The sequence below is a fragment of the Homo sapiens genome, chromosome 7 (assembly GCF_000001405.40).
Source record: "Homo sapiens chromosome 7, GRCh38.p14 Primary Assembly".
Classification (NCBI taxonomy): domain Eukaryota; kingdom Metazoa; phylum Chordata; class Mammalia; order Primates; family Hominidae; genus Homo; species Homo sapiens.
The window spans coordinates 131,478,240-131,499,166 of NC_000007.14; the positions used below are offsets into that span (position 1 = coordinate 131,478,240).

At 37.0% G+C, this 20,927-nt stretch overlaps 1 protein-coding gene across 6 annotated transcripts in view; it reads left to right on the top strand.

The window, feature by feature from the left end:
- The window catches only part of MKLN1 (muskelin 1), a 386,539-nt gene extending 368,146 nt beyond the window's left edge, over positions 1–18,393 (top strand). For 4 of the 6 annotated variants that reach the window (NM_001145354.2, NM_001321316.2, NM_013255.5 and 1 more), the window contains 2 exons: positions 384–438; positions 9,368–18,393. In NM_001145354.2, the coding sequence (NP_001138826.1) occupies positions 384–438; positions 9,368–9,489 (177 nt within the window). In that variant the 3' untranslated portion in view covers positions 9,490–18,393. The remainder of the gene's footprint in view (positions 1–383; positions 439–9,367) is intronic. The other 2 variants (XM_047420401.1, XM_006715993.4) reach the window with 1 other exon arrangement.

The window sequence follows — 20,927 nt, forward strand, 5'->3', positions numbered from 1 at the left end:
ATGCATATATGCTAAAAATTCAGTAACGGGACCCAGGGCACCAATCTGTTCATATGTGTTAGATTCAAATGACAGTTTTCTTTTTTATTTTGTTGTGCTGTTGTTCCTTAATAAGTACATACTTTAATACATTTTTAAAATAAAATAATTCCAGGACATGGCCCAGTATTTTAGAAAATGATAATAGCCTAGTAGAAAAGTCATTATATTCTGTAATCTGAATGTGTTCTTCTTGCCACTATTTGGTGAATAGACCTATGTCACACATATGCAGAAATACGTAGTTGCTGATAAATGGTCAAAGTTATAGAAGGCTATTTTCCTTCAGTGCACTTAGCCAGCTAATTTGCTGCTTCTTTTTTTTTTTTTTTTTTTTTAAACAGTTTCAGCTCCTGGCATCAGCTCTATTCAAATCTGGTTCAGATTTTACAGCTCTGGGTAAGTATTGCAGTATAATTTATCCAGCTAGATGCCCTAGCATTTGGAAGGTTGGATTTTGGTTTCTTTTACGTGAAACATCAGGTGAGATGTTTCAGTCAAATAGATGAGCAAATGAAGTTTCAAGGTATCATGCAAAATTTCTAATAACCTGCTACAAGGTTGCTTTGAGGTATCATTTTGCAGTTCAGTTTGCAATGACTATTATACCAATTGCTGTGTTAGTATGCAAACAGATAGCAATAGAAACACAGTCAAAATAAATTAATTTGTATAGCACTGCCTTGGAATGCAGGCTGTTTTACTGATACACACTATGAGATAATACTTGTTGATTAAATAGTTTTTCCTCTCAGTTCGTTCTTTGTGGAATTGTGTGTCGTCAAGAGAATAGCGATGGGGTAGGCAATGTTTTGGGAGCACAGAAGATAGATTATCTCTTTCCTGAAAATGGGAGTTTTGTTATCTTAATTGTTCAAGATAACTTCTGGTTGAAACTCAAGTTTTTCTCAAACACTTTAGTCTTAATTTAGTAATACTCTCTTTTAGTATTAATGAATTATTAACTAGACTGTAGGCCGGGCACAGTGGCTCACACCTATAATCGTAGCACTTTGGGATGCTGATGTTTGAGCCCACCAGGAGTTTGAGCCAAGCCTGGGCAACATAGTAAGACCTCGTCTCTACAAAAAAAAATTTTTAATTAGCCAGGTGTAGTGGTGTGCGCCCATAGTCCTAGCTACCTAGGAGGTTGAAGTGGGAGGATCACTTGAGCCCAGGAGGTAGAGGCTGCAGTCAGCCAAGATCATGCCACTGCACTCCAGCCTGGGTGACAGAGAGAAAGACTGTCTTTAAAAATAAAAAATAGGCCGGGCGTGGTGGCTCATGCCTGTAATCCCAGCACTTTGGGAGGCTGAGGCAGGAGGATCACGAGGTCAGGAGATCGAGACCATCCTGGCTAACACAGTGAAACCCCATCTCTACTAAAAATACCAAAAAATTAGCAGGGTGTGGTGGCGGGCGCCTGTAGTCCCAGCTACTCAGGAGGCTGAGGCAGGAGAATGGCGGTAACCCAGGAGGCAGAGCTCGCAGTGAGCCGAGATTGCGCCACTGCACTCCAGCCTGGGCGACAGAGTGAGACTCCGTCTCAAAAAATAATAATAATAATAAATTTAAATAAATAAATAAATAAATAAATCAGCCGGGCACGGTGGCTCACGCCTGTAATCCCAACTACTCGGGAGGCTGAGGCAGAATTGCTTGAACCCAGGAGGGGGAGGTTGCAGTGAGCCAAGATCGTGCCATTGCACTCCAGCCTGGGCGACAGAGGAAGACTCCATCTCAAAAAAAAAAAAAAAAAAAAATACCAAGACTGTAATAAAGTGGGTGGTCTCTAGAACCCAGACCTTTACTTGGGTGAATTTTCAAGGGCATTTTCATCAGGATAACTTATGATAGCTTCATTTTTTACCAAGATAATCGTCTTGAAGTATGGAAATTCCCAGCTTTCCTCTGGTCAGTGAATGCATATTAATCCCATTGATGCTGGTGCAGTTATTATTTGCCTTAGAGTTGAGCAATAGTATTGAAATTTTCCATTGTATGTAATATAAATACTATTTTTTATGTTTGGAATAAAATAACACTTTGGGATATCAATTTAGTTTCTTCATTATTTGACCTTTTATCTCTTGAAAGTGAACTGTACCTCAAAGAAAAAAGAGTATATATAATTCTGGTGCTTTTCACTGGGATGAAAAAATAGAGGTGTTCTTGAGGTCTTGCCCTTTATCCATAGCGAGTGATTGAGGCTTCTCGACTGATCAAGGCAACTCCAGTCCTAAGTTCTAACTCCAGAATATGTAGGATTCCTCAGGACTAGACTGAGCAGACTGCTATAAACGTGACTCCAGAAGGTTCTCCTAAGAATTTAGATAATGATTTACCACTATTCATACACTCGAGTTGAAGACCTTAGGCTACTAGAAATCCCCAGTCTGTGAGCTGGAGAACCTAGGTGTAAACATTATTTTGGAAAGTTCATGCCCTTCTGAATTCTAGCATTTGAAACAGATGTACTGATACATGAATTGGGGGTCTGGCATATATTCTGTTTAAATGATTATGTGCCTTATGTCTGATACCACAGCCCAGGCCCATTATTTTATTTATTAGTGCATAGCACTAAACTATCTCTAACTGACTTATTTTTAGCCTTTAGAACAAGAATTTCTTGGCAGCAATTTAAATATATCAATTAGGGTGGTGTCAGCAAATATTTTACCTTCAGCTTAACTCCTTTCTTTTGACTCTGACCTATTCACTGCCAACTAATATATTTTGTCAGGAATAGTTTGTTTTATTTGGATTCTAAACAAACCTCAGATATACTGAGAACAATACAAACACAAAAAGAGAAAAATACAAGCAGGGGAAATTCCTGTGGGATGTTGTTTCCTGTCTTGTCTGAGGGGAGGTATTATATAGCCTAGTGATTAGGAGGTTGGAATGTGAGATGGTGGTTGAGAGTCAGGATCTCTTTTAAAAGTGATCTTGAGCAAGTTATTTAAACTTTCTAATTATCAGTTTCTTTATCTGTAAAATGGAGGTAATGGGAATACTTACCTCAAATTGCTGAGAGAATTAAATGAAATAATTCTGCAAGATAGTTATCACAGTAAAGCAGTAAATGCTCCATTCAGGGTACCATTACTATTGACTGCCTTAAAAATTTAATCTTCTAGCCAGGTGCGATAACTCATGCTTGTAATCTCAACACTTTTGGAGGCCGAGGTGAGATGATCATCTTGAGCCCGAGAGTTCAAGATTAACCAGAGTAACATAGCAGGATCTTGTCTCTATTTTTTTAAAAAAGTCACCTTTGTAACACTGGTGAATTTGGATAAGGAGCAAATTCAGATTGTATGCTAATTTTAATAATGAGAAATTTGATTTAGTATTTATAAACAAGAAGTACTTTTCATAAGGTTTCATGCCTATTTAGAGTTCCTGGTTCTTGTTCTTATTAATTTTCTGTCAGACTGTTCTATCTTTGTGCCAATTAGAATAGAAATAAAATGGGTTATTTACTGTACCTTTCATTGTATAAATGAATATTTCATTTTCTAAGGTCTGCAAAAAAAAAAAAAAAAAAACCTCAGCCGAACTTTCTGAATGACTTCCTCCAGAAATAATCCAATTTATGTTCATCCCTTAGTGAGAATTAAATAAAAGTATTAATATTGTATGTAAAATTTTAAAGAATCAGAAAGATGGAAGGTGACATTATCTTAGTTTTGGAAAAATGAGTGATCTCGGAGAAAATCTCCAAGGATCTTGATTTTAGAGCTTCTGGTGGCTATAGGCACTTTTAAGGTTGAACTCAGTCACTTTGCTAAGTTTAAGAGCTATATCTTATTTCTAGAAAGTATGAATTGGAGCAATTAAACTTATTTTCAGCAGGGTATGTGACAAGTAGGAAAAATCTGGTCTGTAAAGCATGTTGCCTATTTATTTATTTATTCATTCATTCATTCAGACAGGATCTTGCTCTGATACTTAGGCTGGAGTGCAGTGGTGCAGTCATGGCTCACTGCAGCCTGGACTTCCTGGGCTCAAGCAATCCTTCTGCCTCAGCCTCCCGAGTAGCTGGGACTGCTGGCATGCACAACCATGCTGAGCTAATTTTTTTTTCCTTTTTTACATTTTTTGTAGAGATGAGATCTCACTGTATTGCCCAGGTTTGTCCTTTTTTGGTCCTCACAACTCTTTTTAGAAGTTTACAGTCCAAATATAAAGTTTAGTGTTAGAAATAAGAAGTGTACATTTAATAATGTGTATGCTAGGAAAAAAATGAGAATTCATGTTATTTCTCCTTTACCACAAGTAGGAAAATCCAGCTACGTGTAGGATGTTAAGTTAAAAGTATATTCCTAGCCAGGCATGGTGGTGTGAGATGGAAGAATCTCTTGAGCCCAGGAGTTTGAATCCAGCCTGGGCAATGTAGCAAGACTCCATCTCTAAAAACAAAAAATTACTCCTAATAGGTCACTTTCTTTTTAGAGCAGTCATTGTCATCAGTCATACTACTAGTGATATGCTGATAGCTAATTAATATTTATTGAGCACTTACTGTGGGGCCAAGTGCTCTTCTAAGCACTTTGCATGTCTTAACGCATGATTATCCCCACAGTAGCCCTATGAAGTAGCTACTGTATGATCCCCTTTTGTATATGAAGAAACTAGGTTACAGAGAGGCTAAACTAACTTGCCCAGGCATAGTGCTAGTGAATGGCAAACCAGGATTAAAACCCTGTCAGTATGGCTTCAGAGCGCCTTTTCTAAACCACTAAATATGCTACCTCTCACTGAGCTTTACCAGTTTCCACTGCTCAAATGGTTACTTCCTCTTTCCATTTTACTTTATTTATGAAAATAAAGTAAGATAAACATAGTGATTAGGAGCATGAGGTTTAGAATCAATATCATCACCTTTTTGTCCTAGCAGTGCCATTTAAGTAGTTGTGGTACTGTTGATGAGTTTCCTAGATCCCCACCCCTTTTTAATTTATTTTTAGAAAAAAACATTGATTACATATAAAGCTTAGAATTCTCCTTAAACAACTTTCCTCAATCTCTGTATTTTACCCTCAAGTATAATCACTTATACGTAATACATCTTTACACACACACAACCATATACACAGACATAGATGCAGTTGGTTCTCATTATTCAAAGAGTACAGAGTTAGGTTCCTACAAGCCTCTGGTCACAACATTTTATCTACTGATTAATATATAACCACGTATTATGTGTGTTTCTGTTTAAAGATTCCTCATTTAATATATATTGTTGATTCACTAACATTAAGTTCATGGTCAACATCACTCTAACTCATACCTGAACCAAGCTTATCTAATGTGCATATTTTTCCCCATAAGGCCTTTTTGCACTTAGGAATGCCAGACAGCACTTTGGCACTACATTTGGGGGCCATTTTAAACAGTGAAGCCACCAAAAACACAAAAATGTGGCACCAAACAGATGGTGAAAGGGCTGTTGTGGATAGTAAGAGCTGAAACTAGAAAGCAGCAGAGATCACAGAGTTCAGCTTCAGCTGGGGACGTGTGCATATGGTAACTCAAATATTTTGCCACTTTGCACATGTCTGCAATGACCACAGAAATACCACAAGTATTGGTTTGGGGGTTACACATGAATTTTAGCAAACAGGCAAATTCACAAATATGGAATCTGTAAATGATCAAGATCAACTGTATATACGCATGCATACACTCATATAAATATATAGGTTTGTATGGGCTGTTTTAATTTATTATATAATGTAAAAACATATTCTGCAGCATAGTTTTTTTAAGTTAATGATGTGGCTTGTAGACGTTTTTATGAAGCTACACTAGATCAGTTGTATTCTTATGAAGTGATACATAATTATTCATAATAGGGATCTACCATAATTTAACCATTCGTCTAATGATAGTGTAAGTTTCAATTTCCTCATAGGTAAATAGTAAATAAAAATAAAAGATGTGCCTTTGAGAGTTAAATGAGCTTAGTACATTGCCCTACAACTTAAGCACTTAATGAGTGTGAGTTAATAAAAATTAAAGGGCTTTGGAGTCAGACAGACATGGGTTCCACATTCCATCTCTTCCCTCCCTAGCTGTGAGACTTCACTGAATTACTGAATCTCTTTCTGTGTAAAAGAGGTAGATGAAGAACAAAAATAGTAATAACCTTAAGATTATTGAATCTCTCTAAGTCATCTCATCTGAAACTGGAGATTATAATACTTCATTGTTTGTGTGACAATGAAATGTAATCATACCTAAAGTACCTACCACACAGGAACTCAGTGTTTTTTCCTTCTTAGATAATTTGATCTCAAGAAAATGGTGTTACTTTATAAAGAGTAGCATTACAGAATCAATATCTTCTTTTAAAAATATAACACAGCATTGTACTTCTACATACTCAGAACGTAAGAGAAAGAACTAAGCCATTTTAGTACAGTGCTTAGACTGTATACTTTCAGTGAGGTATAGTCTACAAACAAAAGCAAAGAAATGTTGAGTTTGGTTGGTAGTGGTACATATATAGCAAATCTAGAACTCTTATGTATTTTAAGTTGAGCAAATGAGTACATATGATGTTGCTGGGAGTCAGGGTTTTCTTGGTGGAAGAAAGGAGATATGGAATGGAATAAGAGAAGGAAGAATCCTCTGGGGCTTTAAGAAATTAGAATTAACAATAAAAGCATGAACTATAATAGTGTAAAACAATGTATGCATATGATAGGCATATATGCATAGGCCTAGAAACAATGACACCCTGGCAATTAGCACAGCTGTTCTTGTTTGGTTTTTAAATAATAGTCACAGCTAAAAGAAAGTAGGACTCCAGAGCTGTGTAAAGATGAATTTGGATATATACCAGAAAGTAAGGAAGTACCCCAAAATTAATGGGTACATTTCAAAAAGACACAGAAGCCAGCTCAAAAAGGCTCTCACTGGTCAAATCTAGGACAATATGAGTATCAGAATGAATGATGACAGTAATGAGTATAACATTGAGCAAGAGAAGAATCCCTGAGTACACAGTGATGCGAACAAATAAGTAAAATGGGAGGAGGGGAAGAAACAGCTCTTCTTTACAATAGAATGTCAACAACTGTAGAAGGAGTCATAGAGTCAGAAAATCACCATCATATAACTGATAATTGTTTCAGCAAGAATCATCAATGATTGCTAAATTATTGGATGCAGGGCTGTGGGAGAACAGGATATTTACACAGTCTCAAACTATCTCCCTATCAATAGTTTATTAATTACAAAGGTAGAAAAGAACACCTTTACCTTGGAGAAACTTGGCATATACCAACTTAAGTAGATGATCAAAGTTAACATCATCAGTATTGGGATAAACTGATACCACATGCCTTCTGAGGTGATGCACTGAGGACACACAATATCACTTCTGTAGCATTCTTGCCAAAACTGCATAAACTGAATCTGATCATGAAGAAACAATCAGGCAACCCAAATTCAACACATTCCACTCATAAGTGTTCTGTACTCTTCAAAAATATTCATTAAAGTCAAAGAGAGGCTGAGGAACTATTTCAAACTCAGGAGACTTGGAAACTAAATGCAGTGTGTGATCTTGGATTGGATTTTAGATTAGTAGGAAACATGACTGTAAAAAAGTGACTGAAAAATAACTGGTATTATTGGGACATCAATGTTAAATTTCATGAATTTAATATATATTGGTTATGTAAGTTAATGTTCTTGTTCTGAGCTGAAATTAGTTTGAGCCTATAGGGGGCAAAGCTGTCTAAAACTCCCAAATAGTTCTGCAAAAAGATTTTCAGTGGGGTACACACATGGAGAGAGACAGAGAGAGAGAGAGAGAGAGAACATATTTGATGAAACATTAATTGATGAGATGAATCTAAGTGAAGGCTATATGGGGTGTTCATTGCACAATTCTTGAAACTTTTCTGTGGGTTTGAAATTTTTCAAAATAAAAAGTTGAAAAAGAAGCAATTTGGAAATTTCAAAAAAAAAAAAAGCATAAAATAGGAAGACTCTAATCTCACCGTTCAGAGATAACCTTTGTTAATATTTTGGAGTATTTCTTTCCATTCATTTCCATGATCCGATAGTGGGCTTTGTTAAACTCAAGCTCATCTCAAGTAAACATTCTCCCTCAAACTTAAAACAATATATTTTTAAAAAATAAAAAGGAATGTGCTGTTCTTGAGGTATTGTTTATTTTCCTTCCAGGAAACTGGTATCCTTGGCAATGTTATGGTCTATTCCTGTTCTTTTACAAGACTAAAACAGGTTGGACCTAAAATGGTACTCTAAGTTGAATGAAAAGCAGTCTGATCTGAAGTCACTTTCACTGAACACCATGGCATATATAACTCTTGATGGCTCTGTTTCTGTTTCTCATGGCATTTAGCAGCGCTCTCATGTCTCAGCTATTTCAGGGATAGGGGAAATTATTTATTTTATTTTATCACTTAAATATCTCATTTGTATGTAAGAAATCTGAAGCAGCTGAGATAAACCAATTGATGAAGACAGCATCTCACTGAATATTCCTTTAGCTGGAATGAACTTGATAATTGAATGTTTATTAGAGGTTAAGGGAAAAATCCTTTAGATTAACAGTCCCTACCTTTTAAAAATGTCATATGCTTTCTAATGTGTATCAGGATAAAAGTAGTTCATTGCCTTATTCCTCACATAATGTGTGCCTAGCATAGGGCCTGGTACATAGTAGCATAAAGGTATAGTGTTATGTGCAGATACCATTCTGCATATTGTACATGTATCTCCCTCAGTCGTCTCTGTTACCACTCAGTTCCCTGAGACTACTTCCAGCTGTCTCAGAGACATTAATGATTTTAGACTAATTTCTAAAGACCTCTTTCATTTTGATTTTATTATATTTTTGTTACTAAAAAACTTTTTTAGTGGTTCAGAAGCATTAACAAGTCAGAAAAGACAAGTGGAATTTCCTCAGTGGACCAGCAGAGAAAAGACCTAATAAGGAAAAAAAGAGAGATCAGTATTATTTGTAACTAAAGTGCCAGTCCTTCTGCTAGACGCTTTTCATGTAACTACATTTAATCTGCACAATAACTGTATGAAGTAAACAGGATTATCACATACTTACAGCTGAGGAAGCAAAGTCTGAAAGCCAGAAAGTCTGACTAATTTATCTAAGATCACACCACAGCCAGGTAGTAGAACTGGGGTCAGATCAGTAGTGTCTGCCTGGTTTTGAAGCCTGATTTGATTTCTCCATTATAAAATACATTGCTGCTGGTCTCAACTAGTTTTTCTGTTACATGTTTTAAACACAATGGATGTTTCTTTGTATCTTCTTCACCAGGCTTTTCTGATGTGGATCACACCTATGCTCAAAGAACTCAGCTCTTTGACACCTTAGTAAATTTCTTTCCTGACAGCATGACTCCTCCTAAAGGCAACCTGGTAGACCTCATCACACTGTAACTGAAGAGTCACTGGACACAGAAATGGAAAACAGGAGTCGATTTTCCGTCTTTTGGATTGCAGCTCCACTGACTGACAGTAAAGCTGCAGTGATTGAGGACTGCACCAGAGTTCTGAAGGGATCTTAACCATCACAAGTTTTTACCCTCTTCCTTCATGCCTGACCTCAACCCCGCTCTCCTCATCCTATTCCTAAATTAGGCTAATAAAGTGAAATTGGTATACTTTCCAGTTAAATATATATATATATATATTTTTTCTTACTTTATCTTTTAAGAATTAATGAGTATAAAAGAAAAATTAGGCAGTTTACCCTTTTCAGATTTTTATTTCTTTTTTTTTTAATTGGGGGAAATAAGCACTATTAACAGATTCAGCACTACAAGTATTTTGAATGTTGTTGCTGTTGGTCATTTGGCCTGCCTTTTCCCTTCCTATTTCACTTTGCCTCCCATCACACAACTGCGTGTAAATGGTGTCACTTGTTCACCTCTTTACTTCATTCTTAACAAGTGTATAGTTCTCTAGGACAGTTGATGTATGTTAAGGTGATATCTGTGTCTGTATTGACTTGTCTTGTGTTACATTAAACAGTAGGCAGAACTGAGGTCTCAAGTTTGCACTCTTGGCCATAGAACTAAAAATGAAACCTGAGATTGACCCAAGCACCTATCTGAGATTGGTATATAATATTTCTATAATGATATATTTTATAGTAGATATTACAATAGCATCTGACTTTGAGTCACAGAAACCTTAAACTGAGGAGACAATAGTTCAGAACCTTTTTAAGAGCCATTCTAAAAGTGACCAGCAGGAGGGATCTAGTAGTGAATAATATCTTAATAGCAATTTTAGGAGAAAATGACTCTTTCGTCCAGAAGAGCTCTGCAGAACCAGGGCTCCCGTTTATCTTGTGCTATCTCTGTAGTATTTTCATTTGAGAGAGGAGGCTGAGTTTCCAGAGCTTTGCTTTCATTTATTTTTATACACATTGTCTCTCTATATCTGCTTGTGGATATTGTTATTTTGAAGAGAAATGGTTTGTGGTTGTCCAGTGGTATACAACTGACAGGCATTTCATTAAGCACATAGACCAGACTTTGTGAATGGTTCAGATATTTTTTCATTAAAAAACAAGGTATGGCAGATGGACTTTTCCATGGGTCAAATTTTTTGTGTGAGAGATAGAGGTACATGTCTTCTGATGATGTGCTGTGGAATGCAATGTGGGAAACCTACATCTGGCTAGTGCTTACATTTGCTCAAAAAGCATGTTGTATGAAGCTGACTGCCACCATGCTAAAGCAGATTCATATTAAGAAGTGTCGGTCGATCCAGTGGCTCTTAAGAGTGAATAGCTTTATGGAATCAAGTATGTCCCTGAGTAGCAAGATTAGGCCTCACCAAAGAAGAAATTAACCTGCACTTTCAAAAAGTACCATGTATAGGAATGAAACATTGAGGTCCCACTTTATTCTGTCTTTAGTACATGGTTTTACTTATTTTGGGGATGGATAGAAATATATTTTTGCTAGTTCTAGGCTTGAATCATGGGCTCCTTGGCTTTCCTAGCATCCCAAAGCAGTCAACAGTGATTTCTTAAGCAATTTGATCTGTACCTTTACTTGTGAAAGGTATGCTATATAATTCAGCAAGTACCAACTTGTGTAGCTGCAGAATAACCAAGTGGCTATCCAGTCAAGTAAATACAGTTTGCTTACATACTTCAACAGTTTCATAAAACGATTCCCCTGAGTGACACAAGAACATAAAATGTTAATATCACTAATATAGCCTGTTAAATCTTTTGTGGAGACAGGTGCAAATCAGAAGATTGACAAGGAAGAACTTGAGCTTGCTAAATAAGACTTCCTAAATTTAAAAGCTCTAGTTTTGCTTAGTGTGAATTCTGGCACTTTAAAAAGATTAAGCAAGTGAAATTCTGCTGCCCTCCACCATTTATTTTTACAGTGCTTTGTAATTTTTTTCATCAGTTCCTTAAATGTTATTTGGAGGAAACTAAGTTCTTGACCTCAGTAATTTTATTTTTGTTTTTCCCTAAATGTTTCCCTACTAGTCTTTTTGGAAAACATGTTTGTTTTAATTTCATCTTCCCTCACTTTATTTAGGTAGAATTTTTCCCCCTTCATTTCTGAAATTTTTTGCTCACCGCCATGTTTAAATGGGGTTGAATCATAGCGAGCCATTTGCTCTTGCCAAAGTGAGATAGATGTACTGAGGAGATAATTGAAAAGTCAGACTCTGTACTGTGGGGCTTTAATCGGAGCACTGCTGGAAATGATTGCAGAGAATGTAGTGCTTCATATATCCATGACCAAGATTGACATGTTGCTCACAACATGTCACAATTTAGTGAGGAGCTACATGTATTTCCAAGAATTCCAGCATAGATTATAATTTAAATAATCGAATTTGGTATTTAGGTACATTGTTTATATAGCCAAGTGTATATGCTTTACTACCTAACAATTATTCTAGCCTAGGTGAATCCCTAATTGAAACACCTGGCTAACACTTTAGACACATAAATTAAGTGGGATACAGTTTTCTCATTTGTATTATCTCCAGCTTCAACCTCATTTATCCTTTTTCCTAGTATAATACATTGTTTTCAACCAGAAATTAAAGTAGATATCCAACATTATTTTCAGTGCTTGTACTTCATGAGAAATAATCTGATTTTCAAGACACCTCTTAAGTGCATTTGCATTTTATTTTGGTAATGGCAGAGACCTCATGTGGCCAGTTTGATTGATTGAAGAATGTATCACTCTTATTCAAGCAAAGGAATTCAGACTTAAATGCCTACCTCTGTGCTGAAGCTGACAGACAGTATTAACTCTTATCAAGGCCATCTTTTAGACCTGATTTTCATTTATATGAAAACAGACCTGTCCATGTCTAATAAGTAAAAACTGATAGAATACATTAAAAAGTCACTGGTTTATCATAGAAAAGTTTGATGGGTTTAGAGCTCAGTGATTTAAGCTTGTAAAACTGCATTCTTGGGCAAAATATTTATATTGTATATAAATGGTTGGCAGCTTATTCCAGTTGATCTCTTCACATCTGCCTTAAAAGTGCTATGTAGAGATACATTAACAGAGTTATAATAAAACAGTGTTTTAAAATCTAGCCTATAAACAAAAACTAGTTTGAGGCACCCAAGCATTTAGTGAGAGATTGAGAATGATGCTTAATGGATCAAAAAAGCAATTAGGAGTATGTTCCTGATTTTATTCTCTAAATTATACTCAATTTCATGGTAATTACATGAAGAAGTTACCTGCAATTATTCTTAACACTACATGGAATTCACTGGGTAATTGTGGGTCATTTATTTCCTGAAAGTCACGTGAAATCCTTAGCTGGTTGAATGTTGCACAGTATTTGAGAATTACGGTTTGAAGTGATTTCTGTGGGAGGGAATCATTGCAATGTATATTCTAAATAAAGTCATCTAACTATTAAAAAAAAAACACCCTTCCTAACCCTTCTTTTCTTAAAATTCCACATTCATCCACAATCTCATCCCTTTGTAGAAATTCTTGCCTGAATTCTCACCAAGTTTTGAATTCCTAAGGTAGCCCCGATCTAGGATGTGAAGGCTGCCCAGAAAAAGTTTATGGCTGGAGGAGTATCATACAGTGTCTACATATGATAGTACTTACAGATTAGGTCTTTGGATGCTTTAACACAAAAGATTTTTGTTATCCTTATTAGTCAAATAACGCTATTCTTTTGTGGTTCTAGACCCTGGCTTCTATCTCCCTGTGATTTGTTTTAATGCTGAAATGACTTGGCTATCCAAAGCTTCTAGTCTAGAGGTCTGTTGGTTGAAGGCAGACATTTCCAAGTTTGTTGAAATAATACGAAGCTGACTAGCTTACGTGAATGATGTTGCCCTCATTTGTTTTGGGTGAGGACTCATTACTGCAGTATATTGATCTCTTCACCAAATGCTTTTTCTTTTTCTGAATAAATGCTGTATTAGAGGTTCTATTTATATATGATTTTTAAAACTTTGGTTTCCTTCTATCCACCAAATACTGTGAATTGTTTTTCCATTTATTTTTCTTAGCTAATGTAACTTTATTCTTCACTTTTTTTTAGCCCTAGACTTCCTAGATTTTCTGTGGCATTCTGTAGGACATTGTATTGCTTGGAAAAAAAAAGATCAAAATCATTCTGGGGCAAATGCTCTATTATCCTTATTTATGACAAGAGAATAATGAAATTCATAAGAAATTAATAACATTCAGATATTGCTATAAATGTACTTGAGTCATTTTCATTTGGGGATAGTAATAATGGCTGTGGCAGCTTTAATGGAGAAACCTGTGTTGGCCTCTTTTTCTGGCATTAGGATCTCTTGTCATAGAACTATTGGTAAAGTACAGGTTTGATAGCAGAGTTCCTGAATTCAGCATATCATCAGAATTTCCATTTACCTTTTGTCTTTTCTTTTTATTGTATTTTTTAACCTTTTTGTTTCTATTCCTACCTCCCATGAGTAACATTGATTTCTGCTGAAGTTAGAATTTGTGTTAAGAATTGACTTTAAACTTCTGAAATAGTTGAATATTAGAAGTGGCTTCAGTTGCCATGAAATGATTGCTTTTCTTTTTCTTTTTTTTTCCTTAAATAAAAATAATGCAGCCTTATATATGTCTCTTCCCCTCAAGAATGTGAATTTAGGCTGGGCATAGTGACTCACGCCTGTAATCCCAGACCTTTGGGAGGCTGACACGGGAAGATTGCTTGAGCCCAGGAATTTCAGACCAGCCTGGGCAACACAGGAAGACTCCATCTCTACTTAAAATATTTTTGTTTTTTAGCCAGGTGTGGTGGTATGTGCCTGTAGTCCCAGCTACTTGGGAGGCTGAGGTGGGAGGATCACTTGAACCCAGGAGTTTGGGGTGCAGTGAGCTATGATTGCGACACTGCACTCCAGCCTGGGCAACAGAGCAAGACCCTGTCTCAAAAAAAAAAAAAAAAAAAGAATGTGAATTTAGCTCCAATTCCAAATGACTAACTCTTAGGCCAGTCATAGCCAATGAAATCATCTGACGGTAGCTTCTGTAGCCCTTAACCTAAGGAGTCATTAGAGGTTATAGTAAATTAGTTTCTCTAGTGGTGCAGAGAGAAATGCCATCGGGGAAATTATCACTGTCTTTTTGGCTAAAGTTTTATATTGTGAACTGGATCCCACTTAACAGCTTAAAAACACAAAAATGAAAGGGTAGTCCTAGTTTATCTTCTTAATTAGAATCATTATTTGGAAATAAGATTTGCAATGTGCTGTCTATCCCCAAACACTGCTGAGCTTGCTGGAAAACAGAATTTAACATGAATGTTGTCTGAAAGCTGTAGGATCAATGGCAAAAAAGGGGAAATGTTTGGTAGGGAATTGGACCAGTTCTAAGGTATCACTTTTAATTATAAAATAATGTCTTCCTTTTTATCTGCTTTTCAGACAGCCTCAGTGAACTATTAAACATTTGTGTGCAAAGTCCTATTTTGCTTATCTAAGGCATTTTGACTTGGAAGTATTAAACTTCAGGAACGAGCTAGAGAAGACAATGAGGGTATGTTAGAGAAGGAAAAATAGGAGCTTTTTGCTTATGGATTTTAGAGGTCCACAAATCGAAAGGAAAAATAAATTTCTTCATTTCTAACCCTAAAATAATTTTGTTAATGAGATGCTGGGAAGAAGACTACCAAAAGGCCTCAAAGCTCATGCTTCTAGAATATTCAGTAATTCTGAATAGTCTTTGGGAAGTAGCATTTCTTGGGAAGTAGCATTTCCCTTCTTCCAAATAACTGTTTGAGATCTTAAAACAGAAAATCCAGTGTTAATGGGCTCTAGATCTTAAACTAGGTGAGCAGCTTCTTACATACAACCAGTTCCTTGTTAAGGATCCAGCAGGAAAACCAGCCATAAAACATTTCAACATGCAGTTTGGGGGCTCCCTTGCTTATTCACTGAGTTTAAGCTCTTGCTGCAACATAGCTCTGTACCATCTGGGATGCTAGCAGTCACAGCAGTTAGCTCAGATATCTGAGCTGTCTGCCACACAAAGCCTGAGGAGATCATCATTCTTCAGTTTCATTCATTACTTAATGAATGCCAAATTAATTGGCAGGAAGAAGAAACACTGTGTGATATACTGAACAAGCCTGTGTGCATGAATAAGGAGCCACTCAAAAAGCCAATTTTGAGCTTTATTTCTCCGTTGTTAACAAATCTCAAGAAAGCCTTTGTTACAGTTTAGCTCATGTCATTTGGTTGGTTTTATTTTCTAGCCCTTTAACATAGGAGGAAAATTGTCATTTCATGTATAACTTGTAACACAGAATTGAACTGATACTAGTTTCCTTGCCTTAAATTAATTATATGTCATCCCAAGGGTCTCTGTTAATTCTGCTTTGCCAAGCAATAATGAGATCTGGGTTTGGCATTAGAAGTATTTCATAATTTTGGTTTTTTATTTAGGTTTCCTCCACATCTGTAAAGTGATTGATTAAATTAGAGGAGGCGTGTAGAATAAATCCCAATCCCATTGCAACTGGCAGAGCTTTATAAATCTTTATAAATTCAGTTACAACAAAGGAGAGGATCCTACACCATTAGAGCCATGCCATCAGGTGTTTGCAAGTGACAGCTGTAGTGTGTTGCCTCAAATAATACCAAGTTATAAATAATACCAAGTAATTATCAACTCACTCCCAAATTTAATAAGATATCAAAGTCCAAAAGGTTACTTAGGAGTAGTCTTCCGTGGGGGAAGATAAATTTATTAAAGAGTCATGTACTGATCTTTTTCTTGGGATTTTTTTTCCTTTCCCAGAAAAAAAAATTATTTTGGTGACTGATCAATTGTAAACAATTTTCTTCCTTACTTACAAATCATCCGTTCAGAAAAATAAAAGTGGACTTCCTTTCCTAAGCATTACAATTAGCCTGGGCAAGAGGTGTTATGATTGTCTTATTCTTTAAGCCGGCTTACTTTTTGGATTTGTGTGAAATGTCTTTTGAAAAGAAAGTAGATAGTATAGTATTAATTAACTACTTTGTATAGTCTTCTGCATAATTTAGAGTTGAAAATAATGTAACATTTTCCTGTGAACAGATTCCTTTATGCGTACATACTTTATAAATATACATACATACACATACACATACATTTTTAAAATGCTCTTTTTAAAGAGATTCTTATCTTGCTCCCACTCCAAAAGCTATGTACAGTTGAGTTATTAGCCTCAGAGGAAGAGTACAGGAAAGCGAAGATGAGGACCTCCTTTTCTTGTGTTGGTCTTGGGAACAAACAGTATTCCGTCTTTCAAATATGGCATATTTCTAAACAGTTTGGGAAAGATGTTAGAATTTTTTAAAAGTCAGCTCTTTTATAAATTGGAAGTACTCAGTAGTCAGAAATTAAGATCCCCTCTGATAGAGATAGATTCTCAAAACCAAAATTGGACTGAAAATTAGATTGAGAAGAAAGATACAACTTCCTCCATAGCCAATAAAATCTGTCTTTCCAAGTCTGCTTATTAATGCTGTGAATCGCTCCTTCTGTTTGTGAAAACATCTCCTGGACTGGAAATGTGGTGCTGTAACCAGCTGAGCCGAAAGTTGGAGAATGTTAAATATCTTATATGGGACTTACGATAAAATGTATTGATGTTAGTGATTGTCAAAATAGGTTTATCATTTAAAAAACTAGGAAATTACTAAGTATAAAGAAGAAAAACCAGTATTAATTAAGTGATGAGACCTGTTCATTTTGTTTTCCCTGACTTATTTCCATTACCAAACATAGTAAAGGCCAGAAAAGATTAAAAAAAAAATTAACACAGCCATTCCATTGTTTTTTACCACATGGAGAAAGGACCAGGCTGGAAGCATATGTCCCCCCACCCTTATTTATATTCCTTTGAGCATTGCCGTTTTCTAGACAGACAATCCGAAAATAATTGTGTTGATAGGTCTGTTTAAGCCTGAACTCTGGGTGTAAAATGTTATCCAGAAGCTATAGGGAGCTGCCTTGCTCAGGTCATTGGAAATTTCAACCCTAAGACTCATTGGAATTTCTAAGTCCGTTATGCACCATTATGGGCATATGGAGCATATTCATACCATGAGGAGGAGTCTTTGTTTATGATGGACTTTTTAATATGGCCATAATTAAACTCACACTCAAAAAGGATGAGCTATTGTCAAAAGCCAAAAGAAAAACAGACAAAATGAACATGAAGCAAGGAGTCCATAAAACAAGAGTTCTTTACCACGTTTAAGCAAATGTCTCTCAAAAAAAATTGTATTTCTGTGCACATTAGCTGAGATTCACACATTTTGCACCTCAGTAGTATTTCAGATGAGACTCAATGTGTGGAGAAAACCGCTAACTTGTTTGGTTCTACTCTTACCCCCTCTTCTGTGGCAATGTGGGGTCAGGGCCGTATCCTAAAGTATCCACATGGTCTTAAATGGAAATCATGGGACTCTGGAAAGCTGGCATGAGCTGGTTGGAGCTTTTAAACAGAAGTGCTTTATGGGTATCAGATCTCTTCTGACATCAATTGTTTCAAATCATTGTTGGGCTCTGTCGTGTTCTGCAATCTTCCCCATTCCCCTCATGATCTCTGGCTTATCTTTTATCCAATCTGTATGGACTTTTTAGGATTTTTTTTTTCTTATAGTACAAATAATTTTCAGATCCCAGCTTTGGTAAATGTGTTAATTCTACTTTGTGAATAAATAAATGAGTGATCTGCTAAAAATGGCAATTGTAGAATTATGTTGTATGTAATGTACATATGGAGAAAGAATGTATTTTGTTCATTTTCTTAATAAAATGTTATATATGGATGCTACAAGATATCTCTTGTATTTGCTCAAACTACTTTTGAAGTGAACTTTTAAAATGTTTTTGTACTTTACAGTTGTGTTTTTTCCCCCAGAAAGGTGAGTTTTATTTAGGCTTCCAAAAGGAAAGTGATACGCTTTCGAAGGGCCTTTGGGTGTTTTCCTTTGAGACGGTGCTCAGATGAACAAGTACCGGCCATGCTCACAAAGTTTCTGCGGGGAGGCTTCCACTTATTTAAAGACCACTGGTAAATTATTTCATGAAATGTTCTTCTATCTACTGTTAATGACCACCCTTATTTTATTTGCTTTGTCCACTTGGACTTATGTTCCTCTTTAAAGGGGATATGCTTGTACAGGCTGGAACTAGAAGGAAAGACTGAACTGAAATGGAAAATTCACTGTAGAAAAGATAGTAAAGGGAGAGAACCTAGAAGTGTTGCAGTTTGGGAAAATTCTGGATCCCTGTCCCCATTAAAGGGGAAAGACACTTTATGGGCCAAATCTTGAAAAAACTAAGCTGAGAAATATGCCAGATAAAAGTCCTGGGTCACTGGGGCCGAGTGGTGGGACTCTTAGTAATGAGATCCCCTCTCTGCCCTTTCCACCTCCTGGTCTGCTTTACATCGTGGCTTTGTGATCATGCATTCTGGAGTGAATTGTCAGCTGATTTTATTCCAAACAGGGATCATGCTTTCTCAGTTTACAAATTGAATAATCCAAACCTTACTGCAGAGCTTTCATTTCTAGGGTGTCCTTTGAGTGTGGCCCTTAAGTAACGTTTCTTTGTGTTCTCAAAACAGGAAAGCATGAGGTGCAGTGATAAGGTAAGGAATCGGCCTTTCCTTGGTCAGTCCTCCAGAGAATTAACTCAAAAGGATCAAAATGCAGGACACTACCCTTGATATATTTGTCACTACCTTCTGGTGGGAAGACAGCAGTAAGTAAAGAAGGCTTGGCCCTAAACACAGATGAGAGCCAGCTGCTCCCAGGTCAAGCACATGTGGAGACTGTACTACAGAGCTTGGAAGTTGCTGCGTTAGGAGCTTCTGCCGCCAAAGGAAGATGACCGAGCATCTAATAGGGAAATGGCTGTGTGCCCATGCTCCTGTAACTTCTCATATAAATGACGACTGCAGAGTCCCTAGAAACGGGGAGGGGGGGGGCGTGGGGGGGGTTATTTTCCCTGTAAATGAAGGCAACATTGGTTTATCACTAACTGTTCAGATTCTGAAGGTATTAATATGACTGGAAAGACCATCTGAGGCTTGTACAGTTCTGGCGTAAGTCAAAATCCTGGTTGATGACATTCCTTCTTTAGCACCACGTATGCTACATCTTCCTTTGCCTTTTACATTCTTAGAGAAAAGGAAGAGGGGACTGGAGACTTGGGCTTTCTGGGGCATAGGGCAGTTGGGGCAGCAGAGGATGATGCCACCATCCTTACTCTACAGCTTCACTATTGTCTTACGGGGACTTTTTTCCTGTGGGCTTTCACCCAGCAAAAGCAGCAGCCGTCAATCATATCCTTGCCAGAGAGATTCTTAATATAGGAGAAACTGTAATAAGGAGAAACTACGTAGAAGTAGCCTGCCTAGCACTACGTTCGTAAGTTTTAATGGTTGGCAAACCCCGAGAGGTGGTTAGGACCCTTGGCGATGTACATAGCAGCATTGTACAGCTGCCCTCTAAACTTGGGACATAGAATGGAGAGTCCAGGAGGAATTGGGAATCCTGGCTTTCATTTCCTGATGACCAATGACTTCTGCATAATATTGCACAACTTCTCTGCCTCATTTCTTCTGTGAAGTAAATACTGGCAGCAGATCTTGTTGGCTAGGATCCTATTGATTTTCTTTTTAGGACAGGGTCTCACTGTGTCATGCAGGCTGGAGTGTAGTGGTGTGATCATAGCTTACTGCAGCCGCCAACTCCTGGGCTCAAGTGATCCTGCCTTAGCATCCTGAGTAGCTAGGACTACAGGCATGTGCCAGCAAAACTGGCTAATTTAAAAAAAAAAAATGTAAAGATGGGATCTGGCTGTGTTGCCCAGGCTGGCCTCGAATTCCTGAGCTCAAGCTATCCTCCCACTTTGACCTCCTAAAGTGCTGGGATTAAAGGCATAAGCCACCATTCCCCACCAAGGTCTTTGAAAGCAATAGATATCTCAGTGTTTATCACTAGTGTTAATTATGTAGCCAGTTCTATTCTTTATTTACTTTTTTCCCTTGTGGTACAGAAGAAATCTGTGATTTGGGAGGGAGCTTATAGGGAAGGTTCTGAGTGACAAATGAGCATAACACATTTAAATTGACAACTGAGCGTGTGTCTTGGTTGGCAGGCAGGGATCAGGGTGAATGACCTACTCAGAAAGAGAATGGGATCTTAGGTCTAACTTGTGGCCCACAATAAGCTGTGGGTCACTCTTAGAACAGTGCACCTCGACCATGGCCAGGGTCCTGTGTGAGTTCCTTGTACTTGGACTCCTTTCTGTATCCTTGGCACCCTCTCGAAGCTAACCTCAAAATTACCCGGGCCCAAC